The sequence below is a fragment of the Homo sapiens genome, chromosome 5 (assembly GCF_000001405.40).
Source record: "Homo sapiens chromosome 5, GRCh38.p14 Primary Assembly".
Lineage (NCBI taxonomy): Eukaryota > Metazoa > Chordata > Mammalia > Primates > Hominidae > Homo > Homo sapiens.
Window position 1 is genome coordinate 110,384,759 of NC_000005.10, and position 21,528 is coordinate 110,406,286.

At 37.6% G+C, this 21,528-nt stretch overlaps 1 protein-coding gene across 2 annotated transcripts in view; it reads right to left on the reverse strand.

Moving 5' to 3' along the window:
* Window positions 1-2,672: 2,672 nt before the first annotated feature.
* Window positions 2,673-21,528, reverse strand: part of TMEM232 (transmembrane protein 232) — a 351,524-nt gene continuing 332,668 nt past the window's right edge. Inside the window, exons 15-16 of one of the 2 annotated variants that reach the window (XR_001742182.2) lie at window positions 5,658-5,882; window positions 2,673-3,295 (exon numbers count right to left, since the gene is read on the reverse strand). The gene's annotated coding sequence lies outside the window, so the exon portion shown is untranslated. Of the gene's footprint in view, window positions 3,296-5,657; window positions 5,883-21,528 lie in introns of those variants that run through there. The other variant, XR_001742181.2, reaches the window with a different exon arrangement.

The window sequence follows — 21,528 nt, forward strand, 5'->3', positions numbered from 1 at the left end:
TCCCAGGGAATAACCCAACTTGCCTACTTTGAAAACATATCCTGTCCTAACTATTCTGTCCATGCTACTTTGATGTGGTTCATGGTCCTATCTCTGTGGCCAGAGAGTAAAGCCTGTTACTGGAAGAAGAGAAGAAATAAGACTGGGCAGTTGAATCAACTGATAGGAAAAAAAATTGTTGATACCTGGAGGCAAAAGATCAAGGGCTACACAAAAACAAAGAAATAAACAAAGACACCTTTCTGTCCCCTGAGTCTTTTGTGCACGACTATTACATCTCAGGAACCTTAGCTTACCATGGGACACTATTTCAAGTACTTATAGAGAGATCCTTCTTCTACAACTCCGATCTTTCTGTCAAATCACAGCTCTAGCAAGGTTACATCATGCCATGGGACAGCTCATTTCTTTGATAGGATTGTAAGGGGGGAATTAAAAATCTTAACAACATGAACCAGTCTCATCTATTTTTACCCTTTTTAAACTCCTCAGATACTGGCTCATTTGAAAAGAAGTTACAAATTTCAATGATGCCTAGTTACCAAGAGCAATTCAGCTGTTTTAGAAGTCAGGGAGTGACATCAAATATCAAATAATCAGTCCTTGAGCAAACATTAGGATGAGAAAGCTAATAATGCTTGGGAAACTCTGGAGGGTTCCTTCATTGTTTCAAGATAATTATCTCTACTCATAAACCTCAGGAATCCACCATACTGCAACAAAATCTACCACCTTTTTTGAGGAAGGGGGAAGTATTATGACCTGAATGTTTGTGTCCCCCGAAAATTCATATGTTAAGACCTAATCCCCAATGTGACAGTATTAAAGGGTGTGTAAACTAAAAATAAAATTCTAAGGCATCCCCCAACCATCTGAATGGACCCCTCCTCTCAGTCAAGGGCATTTCAAAGTTAACCTACAAAATCTGTTCAGGCCGTAATGGAAGGGGGTGGGGCAGACATGCCTCATTACACCCGCTTCCCTTTTGGAATTTAGGAAAAGCCAACCAGCATTAACATCAACACAGATCTTAAGTCTGATAAGGAACATTTATAATCTATTGTCTCTGAAGCCTGCTACTTGGAGGTTTCATCTGCATGATAAAACCTAGGTCTCTACAACCCATATCATAACTCATACATTCCTTTCTATTGATAATAAGTTTTTCAACCAATTGCCAATAAGAAGATTTTTACATCTACCTGGAAGCCCCCTGCTTTGAGTTGTCTTGCCCTTTCACATCAAACCAATGTAAATCTTACATGGATTTAATTGATGGGTCATATCTCCCTAAAATGTATAACACTAGGCTGTGCTCTGACCACTTTGGGCACATGTTCTCAGGATCCCCTGAGGGCTGTGTCACAGGCCATTTGGTCACTCATATTTGGCTCAGGGTAAAATCTCTTCAAATATTTTAGAGCATTTGATTGTTTTTGTCAACTGGTGGGACCTTTAGAATGTGATTAGGTCATGAGGGCAGAGCCCTCACGTATGGTATTAGTGCCATTATAAAATAGACCCAGGGGAGCTTGTTTGCTGCTTCCTATGATTTTGTGAACTAGGAAGTGGGCTCGTGCCAGACGCTCAATCTGCTGGCAACTCAATCTTAGAGTTCCTAGTTTCCAGAACTGAGAAATAAATTTCTCTTGTTTATAAGCCTCCCAGTTTATGGTATTTTGTTAGAGCAGCCCAAATGGACTAAGGCTTTGCTTGTGAGGGAGAAATCTCAAGTAAGAAAAAATAAGAACGTCAAAACTACTTTTACCAGTGATGTGACAAACATAGCAAGTAGTTACATGCTAATTCAGGCTTTCACTTTTAATTAGGACTTGAGGAGGCCGAGTTCTGCTGTCTTCAGTCTTCATAAATGAGCACTCATGATCAAAGAGCTACCTCCTTTAAATAATTTAAATAAATATCCATTTTAATTAAAGTAGATATTCAATATTGGATATGAAAATAGTTTTTTAAAAAATCTTTAGATTTCATGGCTGCTGCTTAAATGAATAGGTCCCTGTATAGAAGAAAATGACATTTGGCATAGTCCCTGTTCAGGGCTAAGGATCAAGTGTGCACTCAGCCAGAAGCCTTCTGTGATCCCAGAATCTCCCTGGGAGAGAGCAGGTGGGAGGGAGTCCCTTCCAGTGTTGCCTGGTGGGTCACTCCACAGATCTTAATAGCTGCCAGAGGACAAACCAATCTGGTTCTGCTCTTCTGAAAAAGGGCTAGTGTTCTCCCTGACCTCAAATGAGAGTGCTTTGGAATGCAGCAAAGCATTTGATGAATCATTAGACAGACCTTCAAAATTGTGTGAAAAGGTCCCTGCTGAAAAGATGACATATTGAAACTATGCAGAGGCCTGGATGTGGCCCACCTATACCATAAGAAGCAATAAGCCTGCCCTACCCTGACTTTTAGGGTGACCAAAGAAGCCTATAAGAAAAGTTTGGCAAAGAACCACTGGGTGCAAGATTTCAGCTATTCTCCAAGTTTTCAGTAGTTACCTCTCACTTTGTACTTCATTATAGCACTCTTTCTCTCAGTTGTCTGGTACTTTCTGTTTTGCTCCCAGATCTCCAGGCCTGTAGGACACAGAAGCTGTAAACAGCAAATCCAATCACAATCACATTCAAAGGGAAGTTCAGAGAGAGAGAATTGTAAAGGAAAGATTAGATATCATAGAGAAAATTTTATTTAGTTATGTTTTCTGATTCCCATATGCCCATAGACTTCACTGTAGGCTTCTGAAAAAAATAAACTACGACTTTTTTTTCTTCTTTTTGAAAAATGTTTACAGATCCACCTTAAACTCACCAGTCAATGGTGATTTTATTTATCTAACATTCCATTGAAGTGGAAAGAATAGATTAAATATTATTCATTTTATGGATGGCTTCCATTAACCAATGAAAAATATTTATAAAAATCCATAAAAATCAATCCATGAAAATACCCTTCTAGATGTTTTTAAAAAAAATTGTACAGCATACTGTGGTCCTTTGAAGATTCTCATTGAGCTCTCATTCACTGGATTGGATTTGCCTGTTGTCCTTTTCACGTTCTTTGTCCAACTTCTCCTTGGCTCTATAGGTCAAACTCCTTTTCGCTGATTAATGTTTGGCTATCCATCACCAGCTTTACTCTTGGAAAATTCTCTGAGAAGGGCTTTAACATCTGTTTCCTTGTGAAGTGGCATCACTGTCTGGGGTAAATACCCAGGGCTCATCATCTAGTGCCAAGAGGATTGAAGACACGAACACATGTGTGTGAGTTAAGGAGCGGAAAGTTTAATCTGTAAAAGAAAGGAGAGAGGAGAGCAGCTCTCTCACGGGTGCACAAGAGAGGCGTCTGAAAAGGGAAATGTGGCAGACCGCAGCAGATTTTATTGGCAGGCTTCGGGAGGCTGTGTCTGATTTACATAGGGCCCACAGGTTGGTCCGACCAGTTGTGACATTTATAGAATGTACTGGGAAGGCTGGTCACCCGATCCTAAACTTATTATACAAGTGGGCTTTCCACTTGGCCAGCACCATCTTGTCTGTGCCTTACTGTGCACGCGGCTGGCAAAAAAGAGAAGATTGAGCCACCATTTTGAACATACCTAGTCCCAGGTAGTATATTCCTATCGGCACAACTGCTGGCATTCGCCTGTACAAGCTTCCAGTTTGCTTGTCTATGTCTGAGGCTCGATTTTACAGGCTGCTTTTTGTCAGAAAAGAAAATGATTTGGGGGTTGCTTTTTATTAAAAGGAAAACCTTACCAAGGACTTTCGTACCCTCACTATCTGCCTAAGTAATTTCTTTTTTAACTCCTATATCACTTGCTTCATGCACTATGCATATGGGCAAGAGTTGCTACATCTTTCAATCACATCTTCCCAATCCAGGAAGCTTCTTTATTTCCCTGCCTGGCCCTAATCCCATAGAAGGGGGATCTCATACAAAAGGGTTGAAGGCCATATAAATAGCAGTATTGTTCAAGGAAAATAAAAATACATAGAACCCAAGACTCTTAAGCAGTGATAGGTAAAGCAGTACATGCAGAATCGGGGTGGGGGCAGGCAGAGGCAGAAAACTACTGATGCAGGAAAGATGAGCAAGGTATTTTAAGGATGACAGTCATTTAGGCTGGGTACTTTCATGTGAGTTAGAGGATGGTGCAAGATTACTTGTGTTGGAGGAGAGAAAAATAGTGGAGATGAAAGAAGTTGTCTTGGGGCCGGGTGCAGTGGCTCATGCCTGTAATCCCAGCACTTTGGGAAGCCGAGGCAGGTGGATCATCTGAAGTTAGGAGTTCAAGACCGGCCTGGCCAACATGGTGAAACCCCGTCTCTACTAAAAGTGCAAAAATTAGCTGGTCAAGTTGGCACATGCCTGTTATCACTGCTACTTGGGAGGCTGAGGCAGGAAAATCTCTTGAACCTAGGAGGCGGAGGCTGCAGTGAGCCGAGATCGCACTACTGCACTTCAGCCTGGATGACAGAGTAAGATTCCATCTCAAACAAACAAACAAAACAAAACAAAAACAAAAAGGAAAGAAGTCTCTAAGCAGAGGCGTATTTACCATTGGAAACATTAAACAAAATTTTTAAGAAACCTAGGAGGCTGAGATATGAACAGATAGATTGGGGTTGCATACTTTTCCTAACACTGGCAAAAACCAAATTAATGCGTGGCTGAGCAAAGAACTCACACATTCATGGCCAGAGGATAAAGAATTTGAGAAAATTCTCTTTTGAAACAGATTCAAGACACTTGATAAACCTCGGTGAAAAATTTGTGTTGAAATCAAAGTAAAGTTGTTTGTTCTAACAATTGCATTGGATTCTGACATAAATCTCAGCTGACATAAAAATTCACCATCAATTGCACACAAACTTATTGCACGACCTTGCATTAGAATAAGCCTTTCAAAGGACTGAATATACTGTAAATTGAGCAAGATCAAGCTCTTTTCTAGATGCCAATATCAGACAGGTATGAAGATTACCATGTTTCCACTGGAGCTTGGGAAAACACAGACACTAGAAATAAATGGCCCATTGGCTGTCACTGCTCAGAGCTCAGATTCATTCGTTTCTTTGCTACGGTGAAATTCTTAATAAAATGTCAACAAACATGAAGAGCAAGAAGTCAGGTCTGCCTATATCATGTGCAGAATAAGAGTCCTCTGTGACGGCACTACTCTCTTCCCCCAAAACATTGACAATTCTGGTACATATGTGTGTCTGTCAGAGAACGGATCATCCTGTGAGAGAGAAGGACTGAATTCTGCAGAATTTTACCTCCTGACTTTGGGGTATACCAGGAAATAAAATGTGGCTATATCTTCTCTCACTACACCCATAACCAATTGAGCTTTTTATGTCTAAACCACCCTCTTTCCCTCACTTTCCTAGCTACTGCCCTCTCCCACATTCCATGAGTGTTATTTCTCTATCAAACATCAGAAGAGAAGAATGGGAATTATAAGGTTTGACTGATACAATCTCACTGCAGGAGTCGTACCTCACAGAAGAGAATGGTCAGATACTTGGCCAAAACAATTTTCTCTACTCCCTGCCAGTGAAAAGATTTGGAGGACAAGTCACAATCTGCCGCTTCTTACACAATATAAAGTGACCCTTTATCACCATCTCTGGAGATAGACCAACCTTGGCATGGTGTCGCAGTCCAGCCGAAAATCAGATCTTTTACATGGGAAAATCTGAGCTGAGTCCAACACATCAGAGGCTATTGATCTCTCTTGCATTCTCTTTACAACTTCAGCATGTCTTTTTATGGGCACTAAGGAAAATGACGAAGTAGATAGGATCGTATGATGGGTGATGAGGAGTGGCCAAGAGAGTAATTGAAATATTCTCTTGTGAGTGCCTTACCTGTAAGTCATAGAAAAGCCAAAATAAGAATCCATTGAATATCAGAACCTGCTTTTGTATAACATGAACAAACTTACCTACTCTGTTGGCCTCACAACTCTGAATTCCTTTTAAAATACATGGTTCTGATCATTTGATATTTTGGTAAAAATGGTACTTTGGTGATTATAGCGTGATAGCACAAAAAGCCACGTCCCTGACTAAAGCAGAGAACGTGTGCTGACAGTGCTCACCTTTGGGAAGATTCATCTATCATTTGCATGTTAACAAGTTTCAAAGAACTGGCACCATTTCCTCCCAGTTCCATTATAATACACACACTCTAGGCATTCATTGCCTCTGACCGGAGTTAGAACCAGTGGGGTTTCTTCAAGACACTGCTGTCACAATGATGCCACAGTGGTTTAGACCTTTTGTTTGTTTATTAGTTCGTATATGTGTAGCACTAGCTGCTTGCTTTATTTTATTCCCTCTGTTTGGCAATAAACTATCATGGCAGGGATGGCCTTTTTGCTGCATAGCTTGTAAGTATGTCCTGAGGCTAATAAGCATGGCATATCTAATGAATAAGATGAGATAACTCTGTCAAACACTGCTGGAGAAATGCTGGTACATGTCTATTAGCAAAGAAGTCTGAGGCTCCCGTTTGAATGTGTGTGTGTGTGTGTGTGTGTGTGTGTGTGTGTGAGAGAGAGAGAGAGAGAGAGAAACCTCTGTGGGACATATCCATATCCTGCATTCATTAATTCATTTATTCCCTCATGCAATAAATATTTATTGAGCCGATGTGTCAAGAACTGAGGATAAAATGAGCAAAAATGAGTGATTTTCCATATCCTTATAGAATTTATCATGTAACAGAAAATATTACTCAAATAATATAAAGGGAATAGGTAATATTAATTGGACAGGAAATATAGCATGCTGAAGTAAGATTGGATCATAGGTTAAGTAATAAGAATGAAGTTAGTTAAAGGATTTGGGATGGAAAGTTGTAGTTATGGACTAAAGCATATTTAAGAATATTGTACATATCGTATTTTCTTAATAAAAATAGAATCTATTGATTCAGTATAATTAGATTGTTTCATTCAGAGGAAGAACGTGTCTTGACCATAAAGATATTTAGAGATCAAGTCAAGATAAAAGTGTACAAATAGTACTCCACTTGTAAAAACAGAAGAATGAAAATTACTGAGCTGGACTATACAGCAGTTTGGACAGGGGTAGAGTAATAAATCAAATAGCGAGGTGCTTAGTGAATAGATAAGAAACATGCAGAGTCTGCAGGCTTACTGATAAACTGAGCTTGGTACATGACATTGTATCTCCTACATATGCATCATATGGCATATGCATTGTTACCCTAACTAGAGAAATGGAGAGCTCATATTTCTTTGTATGTTCTACTAGTTATTTCCACTCTTCTAGACTATTCTAATGGTATTGCTATTGCAGAAGTTTTATTACTTCTGATACTGAAAGGTAGCAGGGACCATTCTTTCCAGGTGGCATGATCAACTTGGGGTTGCTAACAATTTTGTCAATTTGGTGCCTTAATTGCTCTCCCAGTCTCCTGCCTCCCAAAAGAGCACAAGGAGGTATGGGAGGAAGGAGAAGAGTGAATAAATAGACCTGAGTCAAAACCTTGGTAAAAGGAGCCAATGAGCAAAAGGAACAAGGCAAGCCTAAGAAATCAAGCATCTTGGTAAACGGATAAAAATGATTTGGTAGAAGGAAAAAAATTGAGCTGGTGACTCCCTCCAATTTGGTAATATGCACTGATTTGTTAGTCAGTTCAGGCTGTTATGACAAAATATCATAGGCTGGCTGGTTTAAACAATGGAAATTTATTTCTCACAGTAATGGAGACTGAGAAGTCCAAGATCAAGGTGCCTGACAATTACATTCCTGTGTAAGGCTCTCTTACTGGCTGCAGATAGCTGCATTTTCACTGTGTCGTCACATGATGGAGAGAGAATGACCTCTGGACTCTCTTAATCTTCTTATAAGGATATTAATGACATCATGAGGGCCCTACTTCATGACCTCATATAAACCTATCTCCCAAAGGTTCCACCTCCAAATACCACCATATTGTGGGTTAGGGATTCAAAATATGAATTTCAAGGGACATGAACAGTCAGTCAGTAACAACAATTTAAACCTTTCAATGACCTAACATGGAGTCCCTTGGTCAGCATAACACTCTATTTGTATGTCTATATCTAGGAGAGATATTGCTTGTTGTCCCACAATATCTCATTTTCTTTCTGACAATAATAATGCAATACCTAATATTTAAAAGTGAGTCACTTAATGTTCATGAATTTGGTGATTTTCTAGATAGTTCTCTCTCATTGACTACTAATTTAATTCTGTTACTGTGTCAGAACACTGAATAATTTCAATTATTTTAAATTTATTGATGTTTGTCTTATAGTACAGAGTATAATATGTTGGGGGAATAGACATGTACACTTGTGTATTCTGCTGTAATTGAGTAGAATGTTCTAGAAATGTCAATTAGGTGAAGTTAGTTGATAGTATTGTTCAAGTCTTCCACATCTTTACAGATTTTCTGTCTACTTGTTCTATCAAATGCTGAGAGAAAAGTGTTGATGTATCCAACAATAATTTTAGATTTTTCTTTTAATTTTAGTTTGATCAGATTTTATGTATTTTGTAATTTTGCTGTTAGGTGCATAAACATTAAATTGTCCTTGAAGAATTGACCTCTTCATCATCATGTAATATACCTCTCTATCCTGCATAATATTCCTTTCTCTGCTGATATTAATATAGCTACTTTAGCTTTCTTTTGCTTAGTATTTGCATAGTATATCCTTTTTCATCTCTTTTATTTTTAGCCTATGTTTTTATAATTAAAATTGACTAACTATAGATAGCATATAATTGAAACTTGCCTTTTAATCCAATACAACTTTTTAAATCCATAACCTCAACCATTTATCCTTTCTTTGTCTTACATACAATCCAATTATACTCTTAGGTTATTTTAAAATGTAAAATAGGCTGGGTGCAGTGGCTGATGACTGTAATCCTAGCATTTTGAGAGGCCGTGGTGGGTGGATCACCTGAGGTCAGGAGTTTCTGAGCAGCCTCACCAACATGGTGAAACCCCATCTCTACTAAAAATACAAAAATTAGCCAGGCATGGTAGGCGGGCACCTGTAATCCCAGCTACTTGGGACACTGAGGCAGAAGAATCACTTGAACCCGGGAGGCAGAGGTTGCAGCGGGCCACAATCACGCCACTGCACTCCAGCCTAGGTGACAAGAGTGAAACTTCATCTCAAAAAAAAAAAAAAAAAAGGAAAATAAATTATTGTTGACTGTAGTCACCATGTGGTGCTATGAAATACTAGATCTTATTAATTATATTTAAATGTATTTTTGCACTCATTAACCATCTTTATTGCCACTTCCCTCCCCACCCAAAACCTTCCCAGCCTTTGGTAATCATCATTCTACTCTCTTTCTCCATAAGTTCAATTGTTTTAACTTCTAGCTTCCACAAATAAATGAGAACATGTGAAGTTTTGTGTCTTTCTGTGTTTGGCTTATTTCACTTAACATAATAACCTCCAATTGCATCTATGCAGTTGCAAATATCAAGATCTCATTCTTTTTATGTCTACATGGTACTCCATTGTGTATATGCACCAAGTTTCCTTTATGAAATCATCTGTTGTTGACCACTTAGGTTTCCTCCAAATCTTGGCTATTGTGAATAGTGCTGCAGTAAACATGAGAGTGCAGATTTCTTATCAATATACTGATTTCCTTTCCTTTGGTTATATACCTACCAATAGAATTCTGTTTTTAGTTTTTTGAGGAACTTCCAAGCTGTTCTCCATAGTGGTTGTACTAATTTCCATTCCCATCAACAGCTTTTGTAGACACTTACAGCTATAAACTTTACTGTTAGTACTGCCTTGACTGTATCCCATAGGTTTGCGTCTGTTGGGTCACAACTGTTTGTTTCAAGAAAATTTTTTCATTTCCTATTTTATCTCTTCGTTGACCCACTGGTCATTCAGGAGCATATTGTTTAATTTCCATGTGTTTGTATAATTTCCAAATCATCTAGTGTTACCTTCTATTCATCATGTGTGCTGGTTTGCTAGAGGGCTTTTTCTGAAAGAGGAAGTGTCTGTTCCACCCTCAATTTTGGGCCTTCCCAAAAGGCCCTCTATGCCTCCAATAGGGTCTCTCTGCATGCTCTTGCTCCCCTTCAAGCAGTAGTCCACTGTCACTCAAAGCTTTCAGAATGGTGAGGGAAGAAGTGTGGGGGTAGTTTGGGGCATTCTCTGTTGTTTTGCTTAAGTCTCAGTGTTCACCTGGCATTGTTTTTCTGAGTCTTGTGGGTTAGGTAATTCTAAGTGATCTTGTCTCACTCCTAACTGTAGGTCTGAGACCAACAAGTTTTTCTATTCCTCCCTCAGGGGCATAGAGATTTATTGTTGCTGTTCCCCTCCCATTGCATTTTCATTAATGCACTAAGAGCATCAGATTTTGTTGCTCTCTTTCTAGAAGTTTAAGGCCTTTGTTTTATAGAAGAGACAGGGGAGAGTAATCTGTGCTTTCTCCTCAGTGGCCCCACTGCCCCAGGCCTGCATCAGCAGGGACACATTTTTCAGGATTTTTACTGATCTTCTGTGTGAACAGAAAAGTCTGTGATGAGTGAATTCTTCTGTCTTTGTGCCTTTCAGGGGTTCTATATTCTCCTTTCAGCCCACAGTTGACCTTTAGCAAGTAATTTAAAAATTAAGCTCGATTCTTCTTACCTGTGATAAATAGTGTCTATCCCAGTTAAGCAAGGTCTCATGTCTCGACTCTTATTTGATGTGCCTGACTTTCCTTAGATTTCATGTTAGTTGGTACTCATCAGTTCTCTGCTGGGTCCAAGAAAACTTACAAATTTTCAGATTGTTTGGTGTTTTTGCTGATGCTGCTGTTGTAGTTGTTACTGAAAGTATGGGAGTGATACTCTTTATAGCATTCTACATCCTGAGCGGAAACTGAAAATCCCAGAATATATAATATTTAGCTGGGCATGTGACAAGTTGAAATCAAGAATCCATTTTCTGGCCTCTCTTATGACTAGATCTGGCCAATTATACGTACATGGGAGTTGTCTGTGCAACTTCCGCAAATGTCTTTAAAGGGAGGGAGCACACTTTTCTCTTTCCCTTTCATTGTCCTGCTGACTCAAATTTAGGTGAGAGATCTCGAACTGATGCAACTATCTTACACTATGAAGTAAATTTGGGAAAAGAGGCCACATCTGATAATATAAGATAGAAGGAGCCTCATACAAGCACTGTGTATTAGTCCATTTTCATAGTGCTATAAAGAATACCTGAGACTGGGTAATTTATAAAGAAAAAAGGTTTAACTGACTCCCAGTTCTGCATGGCTGGGGAGGCCTCAGAAAACTTACAATTGTGGCAGAAGGCAAAGGGGAAGCAAGGGCACATCTTATATGGTGGCAGGAGAGAGAGAGAATGCAGGGGAAACTACTGCTTTTAAACCATCAGATCATGTGAGAACTCCCTCACTATTTTGAGAACAGCATGGGGCAAACCACCCTAATCACCCAATCACCTCCCATCAGGTTCCTACCTGGACATGTGGGGATTACAATTCAACATGAGATTTGGGTGGGGACACAAAACCAAACCATATCACACTGGTTTACCTATATAGATATTCACCTGGGAGGAAAAAAAAGTTATAATTTGTTTAATTTACTGTCATACTGAATATTCTCTTTAGTTGCTGCAGTAAATCCTAACTGTAAACTGTATACACATTTATACAGTGATGAAGACATGGCATAGAGATGTGAGGTATGTTTTGGGGCATCAAGCTTCTGGTTAGCATTGCTTGTGCAGTAGGCTTTCTCCCTCCTTTACCCACCTTCAGCACCCAGCACCTATCTGAGGAGCTCACAAATCAGTGATATGTGATAAATATTCAATAATAAAAAATGCAGCCATATCATCTGACTGATTTCTCCAGGCTACAAATTTGCAGTGCTGTTTTGTTACATTCTTTTATATAGTGATGATTTCTAAGTACCTCCTTACTTACATTATTTAATCCCACATTGAGTCTTTAGCCAGAGTTACATAGTTAACAGAATGAATTATTTTTCTTTCTTTTTTGGTTTTTGCCTTGCTAGGGATGTAAGGAGAACTAGAAAGACAAAATCATGTCCATAGGAGAGAGGAAGATGAGAAGCAAAGAGCTGAAAAACTCGTAACTCGAAAAAGTGGCCTCTGATAACTAGGAAGAGGCTATAGGTTATCTACTCAGACAACTCTTTATCTCTGATTCTGGCTGAAAGTCAGGTCATGAGAGTATTCTTGGAAGAAATATTTCCTTTCCTTTCTCAGAAAGACACTATCTTCCCGTTATTTATATCCCATGCTGAAGAGGAAAACATTAAGACGGTTCTACAATCTGTCACTGGACCTTGGAGCAAATGCTTAAACCTCCTATGAAGTAGCCAAATATGGCCTTAAAGCACCTGAGTCAACTTGATTAAACTCTTAGTTCCTCAAGACTAGATATATGCCATCTGTTTAAAATTTAAATGTTATACCATGAAAAACATGTATAACATACTTCTTATACCTATGGTAGCTATTACTGCAAAAATACCCCAAACTAATAACTAGAGGGATTTAATAGAGAATGAAGGAAACTGTATAAGAAATATCATCTCCCTATGTAGGGAGCAAAGAGAAAGCATGTTTCTTTTCTTTGTGTATTATTAGAACTTGTATGCCCTCCTCAGTATATTAGCGCTAATAGTGCTGAAGTCTATGAAAGATAATTGCCTTGAGTCATTCTCTAGCCATGGAGAAGGTAAGATTAATAAAGAACACTTGTTATAATTTTGCAACCAATTTATGTAATGGAACTCATAATAAATAACCACATTTAACACAATAATTCATCAAAGCCAATTTATACATCAATTTGTTCACTATGTGTTAAACCACCCATTTATAAGAATAAGTTGGTTTCTTTCTGTGTCCTCTGTTCTTTCTGTTAAAGTAAAAATTATTGTTAGATATGGTAATTTTTTGGCTCTTACAGAGGCAGCATTGATGTGATATATGTTGTCTTCTCAGCTGCTGTAACATGATGTATAATTTTGCACAGCATGTTGCTTCTGTCTGGAGTAAGAGGAAATTATTGTTTTAAAAATATAAAACCATTATTGATAGTCTGTTCTTCTCTCAATAACTTGTCACTCTAGGTGAATACAATTCACCATAGGAGAGGCTGTAGAATTCCATGGACTGTCAACTCTTAATTATTTCCAGAAAAGGGGACACAGAGAACTCAGTAAATTAAAATTCACAAACTATCTCCAAGCATCTTATTAACTCAGTTTTCAAATTACCCTATTACCAACCTTTAGTCAATATCATCATCTCTCCCTTTTTATCTACCCACTATTGCAAGGACATGACAGTTCTCACCTGTGTATATCCTAGAAAATTCTGCATTATACAATAATTTACAAATCTGTGGAGAACGAAAAATGGGTCCACAATCTTATACTGATGGGAAAAATTTGAAGTCAGAATTGTCACTAATGTGTATAACAAACCTCTACAAAAGAAAAACCAAGGTATTAAATGGTTGGTAGTTTTCATTTGGGTAGACTGAATAAAGGACAATGGCTCCTAATCTTGAGTCAAAGACTCCGTGAGGTCTATTTAAGTATCGCGTGCAGGTTCTGTAGATGCCCAAAAGTGCTCCAGGTTTGAGGATAGGAGCAGAGGCTATGGTTGGTGCCACAGAACCACAGTCTCTATCACTTCTTGCCATGGACAGATCTGCATAGGCCACCCCTTAACCCATCAGCCCTGATGCCACATGCTAGTTATCTTGGTTTACTTTGATTATGTGCTATATGCTCAATGAGATTGTAAAGGGTATAAGAAGATGCAATAGTCTCAGAACATGTCCAGATGCTGAAGAGGTAACATCTCTCTAGCCACATGGCTGCATTAAATCAAGAGATTAAAATTACTTTTTAATTTCTCCTCAGATTTCTTAATACAAAATTTTTTTTTCATTCCATAGAATTTCTCCAGTAAACATTAGCTGTAATTACTAGTGGTGTTGTTTGATAATATAGCAAGAATATAAGCTATCTACTTTGTTAAACAAAAACAAATAAATAAGATAGGGGGCAAGATGGTTCTGGTGTTGGCAGCTGTTATAGTAGTTTCCAGTGTGGCAGAAGTAGCAGCATCTTTGGGGCCCATTACCCATTGTGGACATCTGGGGGTATTTCTGGAGGCTCAGGCTAGAATCTGTTTTTTCAGCCCTCCAAATATTCTGTGAGCCACTTATGTACTTTTAATTAATCCCTTTCTGCGCAAAGTAGCAGGTTCTCTGGTCTGCCACGAAGAACCCTGAATGACACACCATCTAAACTAGAAAAAAAAAAGCTTACACAGCACAAAGAAAGAGAGGACAACTATAAGAAGTAAACTTTTTTTGACAGTTGGTTTTCTTCTGAGCATAGCCATTAATCCTGCTGTCAGGAGGAATAAAGATACTTCCTGAGTAAGGTGTAAGGAGTTGAGCTGGATTCTTGTAACACTGAGCAGTGGTGGCATGCAAATGTGCATGAGCCTTCAGAGCTCTCCTCCTATTTGTTAACTCTCCTCCGAAGTTTTTTGAAATCTGTGGTGAAATAGCTCTTTTTTTAAACAAAAACTTTTAACCCAGAGAAAATATGCTTAATCCCTTTGGGAGACAATGAGGGCATCAAATATCTGAGATATTTTTATTGATTGATTTCTTTTTTTAAAAGGCCTTCCTCTCACAATAACTGCTTTATCCTTCTTCTAAAATCAGTCTACACTCCTTACTACACCTCTGAAAACCATCTCCAAATCATCATGTGTCTGTCACCCCTTACCCTTGTCCTGGGATTCTCCCCAGCCAGTGCTCTTTTTTTCAGGTTATTGATGTGGGAAGATAGGTTCTGAAGCTTTTAAGCTCTTCTTGATTTCCATCAGCTTCGAAATGACTTCACATCAACACACAGTAAACAGAAGTTCCTTTATGCAAGTTTAGATCCAAGACAAATTCCCTGGTTGCCCTTCCTTACCAGATTGCCACCTCAGGATCTTCTTTTCTAGATATTCTAAAGCCACTACTGAATTATTATCGTAGTCTCCCCAAAGTCTTCATATTTCATGGTGCTGATGTTTGACAGGACACCTTCACCAGCCTGCTTCTGTTAAGAGACCACTATGAGGGGTCCATTGCGGGGTGGAGATGGAAGCACACACAGAAAGCACTCCTTGCTCTTAAGTTCCTGGCATGTACATGCTTTTACAGTGGAAATCTCATGACACGGCCTATGGCCTGCTTTCCTTAGCCTTGTGCTACCATAAATGTTTAAACAGTAACTACTATATTTAGAATAATTCCCCTCTTATAGGTCAGGTCTTACTCATTCTGCCTTAGGTTGGTATAGCTAAGTGAAAAATGCACAATTTAGAATCTAGCAGAACTAAAATTCTGACTGTTCCACCTGTAAAACGTGCGATATTGAGCCAATGATTTAAATTCTTCATATGACAGTTTTCTCAAATGTAAAAGAAGTGACGTGTCATGATTTCACTGATATTTTGATGTGAGAAATACAATTTAAATAACATAATGAAGAAAATGCCTGCCACATTACAATTATTTGCTCAAATAATGAATCTAATTTTTCTTTATTAATAAGAAATCAGACTTACTCTCATAGAGATGTCATATTTCACCCCAATAATAGAAGCTTGAGAAAATAAGATCAATCCAGATTAAAAAAATATAAGACATACATCAGATGTCATATGTGTATTACACTGCTTCAGTGTCTCAGTGGGCAGGGAAAGTCAAGTTTATAAATGCCTTTATTTCCAGAATCCAAATTAATTACGTTCATTGTAAATGCAGATATGTAGAATACCTGGGGTACAAGAAAGTGATCATGTAGAATTAATAAAATATAAAAACAGTGTAGTGGCATTTATGGGAACAATGATTTTCAAGAATAAACAGCTTCTACTTAGACACACTAAAAACTAAGTGGTATTATTTTGGGGCGGGGGAACATCCCTGGTTATCATACTGGTTGATTTCTTGCTGTATCCTTTTGTTCTTTCATTGATTTTAATCTAGCTCCTAGGTAAAATTGTTTTTTTCTTCTCTATAATCATTAGGATATAGATATGTATTTTGTCATTTCACCTTTGTATTTTGTCATTTCACCTTCCACTTCCAATCCTTTTCCTAAAAGCAATGTATATCAAAACAACTTTCTGCCTTAGTATCTTTGTACCTTGCATCACAGCAGAAAAATATCCAATGTCTTTTGTTGCTGTTGGGTGTAAATGAGGCTGATGTATTTTGGAAACTACCTGTCCAAAGCCACGGTAGTTTGACTAATGGATCTGAACAGTAATGTCAATCTTATTCTCTTCTAAGTTTGAAGATGCTTAGTGGCAAAGAGCGGTTCATTTTTTTTAAGGTAATGCATATAGTAAAACACAATAGCATAAAGGCAACTTGACACAGACACAACATTCTTTTTTTTTTTGGAGCACTTAAGATCTGAAATGAGTAAGTTGCACAAATTTCAAGTGTCAATAATGGATTTTCTTTAGTCCGTTTCTACATATAAGAGGTGACTGGAACAACATATCAAGCCAGGTACGACATGCCTCTCTGGCCAAGCAAAGTGTATCGACATACCCTCCTGAGCTACTGGCAACACAAGAGTTTTCCTTCTCTAACTTATCTTCCATCACTTGCTGGGTCCTGCAGGATCCCATTAGGCCACCCCTGGGAATTTATTTTATGCTGTGGTAGCTTGTTCTGGCTTAAGAGTTTGATTTTTTAAATAAATTTTCCTTTGCTGAAGTGGTGTGCTTAATAAGTGTTTGCCATGCCTCAAATCCATATCAAATATCACAGCCCAGCTTCTCATGTAGGTCAAGAGCAGAATGTATATTTTTTTTCCTGGGCTCACCCAATATACTTTTAATTGAATTAACTGCCAATATGTAATAAATAGATTATTATACATTTAATAAAAACATTAATATTTCTGACTACTTTAGAAAACATCAGAAGATATAGGCAATACTGAGCCAGCCGTCTGACAAGCGGTGATTGTCCAGAGCTGAGGAGTGTTGCCTCATTTAAAGGGCATATATTCTTCAGCTCTGAGTCCTCATGATTTCTATTGTTTCTTTGAGAACAATGGCGAGTTTCAGTTGTTACCTGTCATTGCACTGGCACTGGTGTTTTCCTTAGTGGAGCAATATGTCTTTGGCACATGTCTCTATCAGAGGTGGAAACCGAAAGGAGAAACCAAAGAGGCTGAAGAAGAAAAATCAGCTAGATTATAATTCTTAATGAAAGTGAGAAGTATCCCAGATGACTCATCCGTTTGCATCATTGCTCATTTCCTACAGATATTTCAGTTTGCAATCCCCGTTCTAAACCCATCTGGATTTAGGGACACTAGAATTGCACTGCCTTACTGATCCATCATTTTTTCTGCAAAGAAGATTGCTGTTGTTGCTTAAGATTGTTTCCTGAATAAATCTTTTACATCTTGCTGCAGTCTTACAAAGTATTGACTTATAGAAATGGCTCTTTCAGGACTTCAATCAAAATATTAAAATAAATGTGTATATTATTAGAAACACAGAAGCATATTATGGAATGGCTAACTACTCATAAAAATCATCTACCATCTGACTAACTTGGAACATTTCTATTAGTTGAATTTCTTTGATTGCAAACAATACAAACAGACCCTGGGTAATTTAACCAAAAGAGAATTTATCAGAAGACTAGGGGATGGCACCACAATCAGTGACAGGACTTGGGAGAACCAGTCTCAGCACGATGGGAACAAGTACAGCTTAGGGAAATTGGATTGCAAAGTAGAGTGACAGTTCTAACAACATGCTGCTGATGACAAGCAACATCTCCAAAAGGTTTTTGTTTTCTTATTCTTTCATCCATTGACTCAAGACTCAAAGTCCAGATGTCCAGATAGCCTACAATGAATGACACTTGTCCCTAGGGGAGGTCAGTGTACCTTGATTGACAGCTTCACAAAGACTACAAAAAGTGGTGGAGAGGTAATTCTTTAAAAGAAAATCCAGATCCCTATGACCAGAAGGAAAAGGAGAAGGTTGCCAAAGAGACAGCAAATGACCACTACAGAAGCTGTTCACTATAATCTAATGTCTTTAATTTCTACAGTGTTTTGCAGAAAACAAAAAGACAAAAATAAGACAACAAGAAATAAGAAACAAAAAGAAAAAGAAAAGAAGACAACTCACTTTGTACCTTTGACACATTCTCTACAGATTGCCTTTCATGGATATAGGGCCATTTGCAGTCAGCTACATTCCCTACAAAAAGGTTCAAGGCCCTAATATGAATAGGTAAGTCTCAGTCTTGGTATTTCAATTCCAGAGAAAATTTTTTAGTAACAAAACACTTAGACTGTGAGCAGAATTGGGAAGCCTACCTAAACTACTATAGGGCAAAGAAATAGATCAAAGTGTTAAAATATATTTGAGCAATACCCCCAATGTGAATGGCTCTATTTACCATCACTCTCAGCTAGATAAAACCTTCTAATCCATTGTGGTGCCTCAGGATAGAACATTCATTTCCCCTTTAGAGTTTGCTGGGATATCTAAGGACGTCCCATATTCTTATTTTGATCTGTGCAGCTTCGGCTATCCATAGATTGTCAGAACTAAAATGATTGTTTGTCAGAGAGTTGCCAGGGACCATTCATAGCTCAGAAGATTTTAAAATTATATCAGAAGATATCTAAAGCTTGTGATGCTGCAGACCTGCTGCAAAGATTTGTTAGAAGCAGGGGAATTCTTTATGCTGGAGGGAAGAATTACAATAGAAACACATAGGGATTTGGGCTGATTAAGTCAAAATCTAGTTGAGTTTCATATATATTATGATCTCCTATTTGTTAATATCATCCAAAAACCTTTGAAAATCAGTAAGCCAGAAATATTCAGTATGCAGCTTGGGCCCATCAGGGAGAGTTGAAGAGACCTGTAAATTGATTTTCAGTTGTGTGTGGGGTGGGGTGGGGAGCAATGTGAGGAGTGAAGGTGTGGAAATGAAGAAATGTGCTGAGCAGCATTGGTTATAACTTTAAGCAAATTCTTCATGCTAGGAGATAAGAGAGGCAAAGAAGAATTAGTTATAAGATCAAAATGGTGATGTGGGTGCGGGGTAGGACTTTTCAATGAATTTTCCTTCTTAACTTGCCCCTTTACCACAGTCTTACCTTTCTCTCTTCACTCCTCTTTAATACCAAACTTGCCACAGGATGCCTGCACCCTCTTCCCATCTCGCCATTTTTATTTCAAAATGAAATATGGCCAATTTGATGTATAAATTTAATTTTGACATTGAAATTTTCTAGAGGCTTAACTTATAATGTCAAATATAAATATACTTCAAAATTGTTTTTTCTTTCTCTAATGTCCATCCAAATTTCTTGCCTCCAACATAGTCTCATCCTTGCTTTCTGAGCCTACTGTGTTGTTAGGACATTTTATCCTCATCTCTATTTCTGTTTCCTGTGTAAAGAGAAAGGAGTAGAAGGTGGCAAGGAAAAAGTAAAAGATAACGGAGAAAAAAACTATTTTATTCAGATCCCATGTAATATTTATCTTATGTCTATCTTGCTGTCTCCTTGGTTTTAAAAACTCTACTCTGAAAAAAGTGTTTTAGTTTATTCAGGGCAGATCTAGATATGTGAGCCCTAAAGATTAGGCAAATTGGGGGAACTTTTATGGAAAAGAATATAAAACCATGAATAGAAATTTAATGATGAATATTTATCTGGCTTCCACTTCCAGTTTATATGAAGAAGAGCTAAAAAATCTTTTCAAATCATGGTAAAAACAACAAAATTGACAAAATGGATAAGTAAACCTTATTTTCTAAGGGGCGAAAAAGGAATTGTAGATATAATAAAGCCTTGATGAACTGAATTCCAAAGAAAAACAAGTGCTTCCTAGTTAGAGTACCATGGCAACTTCTCTACCTAGGGAACAGCTCCTGGTCTGGATACGAGTGGGTGGAGGTGTAGGCCTGATGTTGATGAAGAGACTCGGCAGGGTTAAAAAGAAAACAGATAAGCTTTAGATGACACAGTGATGGCAGGAGATATTTGAATCTGGAAGATTCCAAGCAAAAAACAAATTTTTCAGCCAATAAGTTTCTCTGTCTGAATATTATCAAGAATTCAGCCATGAAAGAGAAGCTGATAAACAGAAAGAAATAACATATTTTTGTGTTGCTTCTATTTTGAAGCCCTGACCAAATTGAATCCAAAGGTGAACTAAAAATATTTTAAATTGCATCTCAACTTTCTCTCATTTGGAATATAAAGCAAGATAAAAAAGAGACTAGTGATACTGAAAAAATGAAGCAGGCTGATCACAGGTAAAGTCAATGCTGTGATGTAGCACAGGCTCAATTTGATTATAAAGATTCTGAATGCCAGTACCTTCCCTTAACTTTCAAACAGGGGCAGTGGCTTGCATTCACTGTCAAAGAACCAAAACAAATTAAATTTTTATAGTATTATTTTATACACCATATTCATAATACAATAAAAGATTAGAAGATATGTGATGAAGCAGGAAAACATGTCCCATCACCAAGAAAAAAAGTCAATATAAATTGAGCTAGAAATTTCCGGGTATTAGATTAGGCAGGTCCAGAATTAAACATAACTGTGAAAAATATATTAAGTAATTTATAGGAAAAAATGGATAAAGAGATGAACTATTGTGGGAGAGAATTGGAAGTTGTAAAATAAAAAAAATTGATTAAAATTCTAAAAGTTAAAATTATAATATTTGAAAATAAAAATTTGTTGAATGGGTCTTCAAGTAAATTGTAAAAGAAAGATTCAATGAACTCAAAGATGGATCAATATAAAACATCAAACTGAAGGACACAGTTTAAAAAAAAAAAAAAGGAAAAAGTAAACAGGCCATCTGTAACTTCCTGGAATTATCAAGAAGTTTAGCACGCTTGTATTTGGAGTTCAATAAAGAAAAAAGAGAAAGAAAAAATAGAACATATTTTAAACATGACAACCAAAATTTATATTTTACAAATTTTATAAAAAATTATCAATACATTGATCCAAAAGCTTAACAAACTACAAGTAGAAAGAAGAAAAACACACATAGGCATGTTATAGTCAACTGCTGGAAACCAAAAAGAAAGAGAAAATCTTAAAAACAGACAGGGGAAAACAGAAACATTATATACAAAGAAACAGCTACAGGAATTATGACTGACTTCTCATCAGAACACTGCAAACCAGTAGACAGCTGAATGGCTGATTCATCTAAATATTGGTAAAGATATGGACTGAATAGAACTCTCATACATATCTGAGGTAGCTATAAAATGATATGCCAATTATGGAAAACATTTGAATTTTTCTTATATAATTCAACTTTCATCTACCTATGACACAGATATATATACACACACACACACACACACA